The sequence below is a fragment of the Homo sapiens genome, chromosome 9 (assembly GCF_000001405.40).
Source record: "Homo sapiens chromosome 9, GRCh38.p14 Primary Assembly".
In the NCBI taxonomy this organism is placed as follows: Eukaryota; Metazoa; Chordata; class Mammalia; order Primates; family Hominidae; genus Homo; species Homo sapiens.
The window spans coordinates 20,301,870-20,308,612 of NC_000009.12; the positions used below are offsets into that span (position 1 = coordinate 20,301,870).

The window sequence follows — 6,743 nt, forward strand, 5'->3', positions numbered from 1 at the left end:
TGCCCTAAAACCCCTCTGTACTCTGCCTATTCACCTCTCCCTCCTCGCTAAACCCTGGCAACCATTGGTCTTTTTACTGTCTTCACAGTTTTGCCTTTTCCGGAATGTCATAGAGTTGGAATCATACACTATATAGACTTTACAACTCACTTCTTTCACTTAGTAATATGCATTTAAGTTTCCTCATGGCTTGACAGCTCATTTACTTTTAACGCTGAATAATATTCCATTGCATGGACATACCACCGTTTATTTATCTATTCACCTATGGAAAGATATCCTGTTTCCAAGTTTTTGGCAATTCTGAATAAAGCTGCTATTAACATCTGTGTGTAGGTTTTTGTACAATTTTCAGCTCCTTTGGGTAGCTACCAAGGAGCTCAGTTGCTGGGCTGTATGGTAAGCATATTTTTAGTTTTGTAAGAAACTGGCAAACCGTCTTCCCAAATGGCCATACTGTTATATTTTGCACCCACACCAGCAATCAATGAGAGCTCCTGTTGCTTCCCATCCTTGTCAGCATTTAGTGTTGTCAGTGTTCTGGGCTTTGGTCATTCTAATAGGTATGTAATGGTATCTCATTGTTTTGATTTGCATTTCCCTAATGACAGTGATGTGGAACTTCTTTTCATATGCTTATTTGCCATCTGTATATCTTATGTGGTGAGGTGTCTGTTGAGATCTTTGGCTTATTTTCTAATCAGGTTATTTTCATATTTTGGTGTTGAGTTTTTTTTATACTTTTCTTTTGGATAGCAGTCCTTTATCAGACTGCCTTTTGCAAATATATTCTCCCAGTCTATGGCTTGTCTTCTCATTCTCTTGACTATGTCTTTCACAGAGCAGAAGTTTTTAATTTTAATGAAGTCTGGCTTATCAATTATTTCTTTCATGGATTGTGCCTTTGGTGGTGTTGTCATTTATTTTTAATTGCCAAGGATGATACCACTGTGGGGCTGAACCAACATTAATATAACCAATTATTTCCCATATGATCAACATTGAGGTTGAGATTTTCACTACTGTAAACAATGCAATGACAGCATATTGATAATTGTGCACTTTTTGGATTATTTCCTTTGGATAAATTCCTAAAAGAGAAATGGAGTCTCAATCTTGTTAGAGTATCTGATATATTTTGCTAAACTTCCATCCCCAAAAGTACCACTTTACCCTCTTACCTGCATGTGACAATATCCATCTTATCACACTTTTAAAAATATTTTTTACTAAGATACATAGATATATCTGTATTTTTTTTCTTTAAAAAAAAGGAAAAATTCATCATAAGGCTGCTGCCCTTTTTCATGCATCACGGGAGTACAGTTACTATCCCTCTTCTTACCATTCCATTTACATTAAAAAAGAACCCTGAGGGGAAACAGGGGCCTCCAAAGGGTACATCCCTCCTCCCACCTGAGTGAATTGGGAGGGAAAATTGAAGGTCTTTTACAAAATCCTAACATGGTTGAGAGCAAGGATTTAAACTTTGGCCCCTGTACTTCAGCCAAGATCTTGTAAGAGTTTATTTATTTTTCTCTATTTTTCCCTTTGATAATCAACAAATTTAACGTATTCATTTTAAATCCCACAAGTCTGTTCCCTTTCCCAGGAGCAGAATGAAGTAATCTAGTTCCCACGTTCTGACAGCATAGTTTAAGGGCCACAAAAGATGATAGCCCCCAGCCCATACAGCCAGGGATACTTCCAATAACTGGAGGTTTGCCAAAACAATCAAGCAAGAGACATTTGCACCAGAGCCTTGAAGATCGTCCAACCCTTAGCTGCCCAATTATTACCTCCTTCAAGAGTAGAAGTCTTTCCTCCACCTGACTGTAGCCATATCTTGAAATTTAATTGAACTTTGCCACCAGAAGGGTTCATTTTATTTTTAATAGAGACACAGGCAATGCTTTTCTTAAGTAGGGACAACCTAGCGGCAAAACCTCACTGTGTTCCTAGTCTTTGCATCTTATCTGAAGCTAACATGCAGACAGGGCAGGGGGCTCTCAGCTCAGTGGGTGCTGTGCATCTTATGCTTTGGAGGTTTGGATGGGGCAAGACTTGGGAAGAAAGTACCTTCAGCCTTACGGTCCCTAAGTGACAGTGACCACATAAGGTGTATCCAAGTCCACTGAGAATCTCAGCTACATTTCATGACATAGCTATAAAACAGTTCCAAGTACTAATTCGTTAGTCTTGGGTTTTATGCTGAGTGACTCTGAAATATCTGATTAAAGAGGCTAGCTTCAGTTTCCACTCTGAAAACCTGGCTTGAATTTATTGCTGCCTCACACAGGATTGCCTCAAGCTGGGTCTCTCCACTTCAGTGGCAGGCAGGTTAACTATTTCACTGCTGGATGCTCTGTCCCTCACTGCCAACCCACCCCCAGCCCCCTTCCTAAACTCTCATCCCACAGCCCCGGGAGCGGATTCTGCAAAGGGCTTATAAAGCACAGAGGGAAACTGACCATCTGGCCTGAGTGATCTTTTTTTGAAGGGTAAAGAAGATATTTAGAAAGAGTCCATTGTAATAAACACATTTTCAAAATTGTTTTAAAGTACTTAAAAATACAGAGATAGAGATAATTTTCTGTTTAAAAAAAGACTTTTAACAGCCAAATAATTCTCATTGGTATTTTATATAAAACACATGCGTAAGTTTGGAAAGTTTCAATCACACAGAAAGGTACAAAGTTAAAGGTATAAAAATAATGTAAAGCCTACTTTACCCATCAGAATAAACATAAAACCCAGTATATGCTTATTCTTATAGGTAAATTACTCTTGATTTAAATATGTACATTTTGTTTGAATTATGCTGGGTCTCCAGGAACACAATCCTTATATAAAATGAGATAGCCCTGGACTATTTTCACTTCTCTATTTTATAGAGGAGGAAACCAAGCTAGAGAGAGAAGAAACAAGTAACTTGCCTAAAGTCTCAGGGATAATAAGCAGCAGAGCAAGGACATAGTCCTAGGTGGGATCCCAGAGACACGTATGAGCTCACCTGGGTCACGACAGTAACTGCCCAGCAACCCTACTGCCAGTCTCGGTGTCCACCAGCCCACAATGAGTCTTATGATCATACCATGCCTCTATCCAACTACTTAAATGACTCCCCACTTCATATACCCACACTGGAGAGTGGATTGGATATGGAAAACACCATTTAGCACAAAGTTATTTAAAGACATGCATGTTAAAGAAAGCGGATTCTACCAAATAGGATAATACCTTTTTTTTTTTTTTTTTGAGATGGAGTCTTGCTCTGTCACCACGCTGGAGTGCAGTGGCACAATCTCGTCTCCCTGCATCTCTGCCTCGCAGGTTCAAGTGATTCTCCTGCCTCAGCCTCCTGAGTAGCTGGGATTACAGGTGTGTGCTACAACGCCTGGCTAATTTTTGTATTTTTAGTAGAGATGAGGTTTCACCATGTTGGTCAGGATGGTCTCGATCTCCTGACCTCATGATCGACCCCCTCGGCCTCCCAAAGTGCTGGGATTACAGGCATGAGCCACCGCGCCCAGCCGATAATACCATTTTAATAGTTACCAAGGAGTCAGTGTAGATGACTACCTATCTGTTAAAGGCTTTATAATAGCAATTAACATCTTTAAAAGATGTAGGTCAGGAGGTAGCAATAACAGCTGTCGTTTTTGTCTTAAACTCTTCAAAATGGGAGGGGAAGGGAGACTGATCTCTAAGTAAATAAAAATAGTTATCCATATTCAGTATCTAGAGTCTAGCAGAGACTATGCTAAGTATTTCACATACGTCAGCATATTTGAGCATATAACTCTGCGAAGTCAATAGCATTATCCCAGTATATAGATGAGGACATTGAGGCTCCAAGATGTCAAGCAATTAACCAAGACCACCCAATGGCAAGCGGCTGAATTGGTTTGCCAGGGTTGCCTTAACAAAGTACCATAGACTGGGCAGCTTCAACAACAGAAATGTATTTCTCACAGTCCCAGAGGCTGGAAGTCTGGGGTCAAGTTGTGGGCAGGGTTGGTTTCTTCAGAGGCCTCTCTCCTTGACTTATAGATGGCCATCTTCTCCCTCTGCCTTCACGTGGTCTTTTCTCTGTGTGTCTGTGTCCTTTTTTTAAGGATACCTGTCATTCTGGATTAGAGCCTACTCCAATGACTTCGGTTTAAATAACTAACCTCTTTAAAGACCCTATCTCCAAACACAGTCACATTATTCTGAGGTACTAGGGGTTAAGACTTCAATGTATGAATTGGATAGGGACACAACTCAGCCCACAGCACTGGGTGAGCCAGGATTCTGACACAACTCTGTGATGTTGGAAGCTACCCCATGTTGTGTTGGAATTCAGAATGATTCTTTAACTCCTTTGGCCTGTTGCAATGAGATTTAGAAAATAACCACGAAATTGGCAACTTCTGTTTACAATCACTATAGTTCTTTTAACAATAGTGAACAACAACAACAACAACAAAAAATGCAAGGCAAGGCCCAAAGCAAAGCAATTGATTTGTCTCTACCACAGGCAAATGTAAGATGCTGAGCCTTTATATAGCTGTCTTGCTTAATTTTTTCCCAAAAGGTTCCACAAATAGAGAAAGACCCAAAGGCTTCTGCAAACCTGTGGCTGAGATTTAGCTGCACATTCTTGCCTGGGGCTACTATCCACCTCCATCTCCTGCCTGAGGACCCTCTGGCGGGATTACCAGCCCAGAGCCAGGGAGGTGGCACATCCACTAATTGGGCAGGGCCGTGTTGGGTGTCTTTGTGTCATCCCATGAATAATATCACAGCTACACCCCTTTACAGTCCTTAATGTTATTTTCTTTTTTTGTTTGTTTTTATTTTGAGACGGAGTCTCACTCTGTCACCCAGGCTGGAGTGCAGTGGCGTGATCTTGGTCCACTGCAACCTCTGCCTCCTGGGTTCAAGCGATTCTCCCGCCTCAGCCTCCCAAGTAGCTGGGATTACAGGTGTATGCCACTTCACCTGGCTAATTTTTTGTATTTTTAGTAGAGACGGGGTTTCACCATGTTGGCTAGGCTGGTCTCAAACTCCTGACCTCAAGTGATCCTCCCACCTCAGCCTCCCAAAGTGCTGGGATTACAGATCTTAATGTTATTTTCTTAGACTGACTCATCTTCATATCACCCTCACAACTTCTACCATATCTGCATTCACCCTGTAATTTTACCTACTATGTTTTAAATCATCTTATGTTTTGTTTACATCGATCTTTAAAGGGAAGGTTTATATAATTATCTTAAATGGAAAATCTATATCATTTGTCACAGATAGAAAGTAACCATAAAAAGGTACACACAAAAAAACAATTATTATTAAATTCTAGCTAGTTACAGCTGTTTGCCACCTCTTTCTCTGCTTTTAAAAAAGGGGATTGGGACATGTAAATGAAGTGTTTGAGATATAGTAGTCCTGAAGTGAGACTTTCTTATAAATTAATCAGAAGCTGAAACAAACTTGAAGAGAGAATAACTTCTTCACTCTGTGATTAGTATTCCCTAATGCTGCGACTTTGTCCTCCTGAAAACCAATTCCACCCACATTTGGGAAAGGCTGCTTTCTACTTTTCAAAGCACTTTAACAACAACCCTCTAATATAACCAGAGCAGACATTTTACACTTGTCCTCTAAATGAGAAAATTCCAGCAAATTGTAGGCATTGTGAGAAACTCCTAAACTCCAAGCAAGCTTCTCATTTGGCGTTTAGAGTTAGACAACTATACTTGGGGTCCAGGAATGAGGGGTCGGCAGGAAATACTTACTGCTTAAAGAGATGACTTTCTATAGTTGGCTCGGCCCCTTTGTTGGTCTTCAGCCAAGTGCTACACAACTGGAAACCAAATCTAGGCTCAGAGACACATGCTAGACCCAAGTTTCCGGGACTCGGTCCCTGACCAGCTTGCAGAAGGTGCTGGGATAACATCCGCTTCTCCCAGGGAAGGAGGGACCGCGGCTCTCTTTGCTCAGCTGCAGCAATTGATTTGACTACAAGATTTACCAGGTCCCTCTCATCCTGCCTTTGTTCTGCAAATAGCTGATGCAGTTCTCAAATCAAAGGAACCTCTAAGCCCTGGCTCTTAAAGGGTGGCCACCAGCAGTACCTGGGAGCTTGTGAGAAATGCACAATCTCAGCACCCCACCCCACACCACGACACGCCCCCTGCCCCACAATAGATTAACTGCACCCTTGAATCCAAATCTCCAGGTTAACAGTCTCCAGGTGATTTGCAATGCACATTAAAGTTCAAGAAGCACTACTTTAAAAAAATTGTGATCAGGTGGTCATCCTGGACTGCAAGCCGTGGATCCTTCAGCTGTGTGGTCCTTATGCTCACAGTTGGGAGCTACCACTCTAAATGTTGCAACCACTTGGAACACCGTTCTAATCCAGGGTCCCCTAATTACCAGCTGTGGGAACTAGGGCAGATCACTCAGCCCTTTGCGGCCTCTGTCAGTGCATCTGTAAAACAAGGAGAGCAAACTCCTTCTCCCAGAAGTATCTGGAGTAGCCCTTGAGAATGTCTATAGGGCACTGCATGCAGTGCCTGGCACACGGTGAGCGGCACAAGGTGCTCAGTCAACAAACATGCATTGATGATCTATAATGCCCGGACTCTGGGGCTACAGCACTGAAAAGATGGACAAGGTTGGCTGGAAAGAAATAAAGAATGAAGAATTTCAGTAGTGATAAGGATCCTGAAGAAAATAAATCATGCAAGCGA

General features: G+C 41.6%; 1 protein-coding gene across 1 annotated transcript in view, besides 1 other annotated feature; it reads right to left on the reverse strand.

Annotated features, from left to right (window-relative positions):
• The window catches only part of SLC24A2 (solute carrier family 24 member 2), an 800,438-nt gene extending 794,415 nt beyond the window's left edge, over positions 1-6,023 (reverse strand). The window contains exon 1 of the mRNA XM_017014592.2: positions 5,784-6,023. The gene's annotated coding sequence lies outside the window, so the exon portion shown is untranslated. The remainder of the gene's footprint in view (positions 1-5,783) is intronic.
• Positions 198-875: an enhancer, noted in NCBI's record as "OCT4-NANOG hESC enhancer chr9:20302065-20302742 (GRCh37/hg19 assembly coordinates)". NCBI's record gives its function as "activates a minimal SCP1, AML or CMV promoter by ChIP-STARR-seq in naive H9 embryonic stem cells {active_cell/tissue: H9 hESC(naive)}" and the evidence as "EXISTENCE:reporter gene assay evidence [ECO:0000049][PMID:30033119]".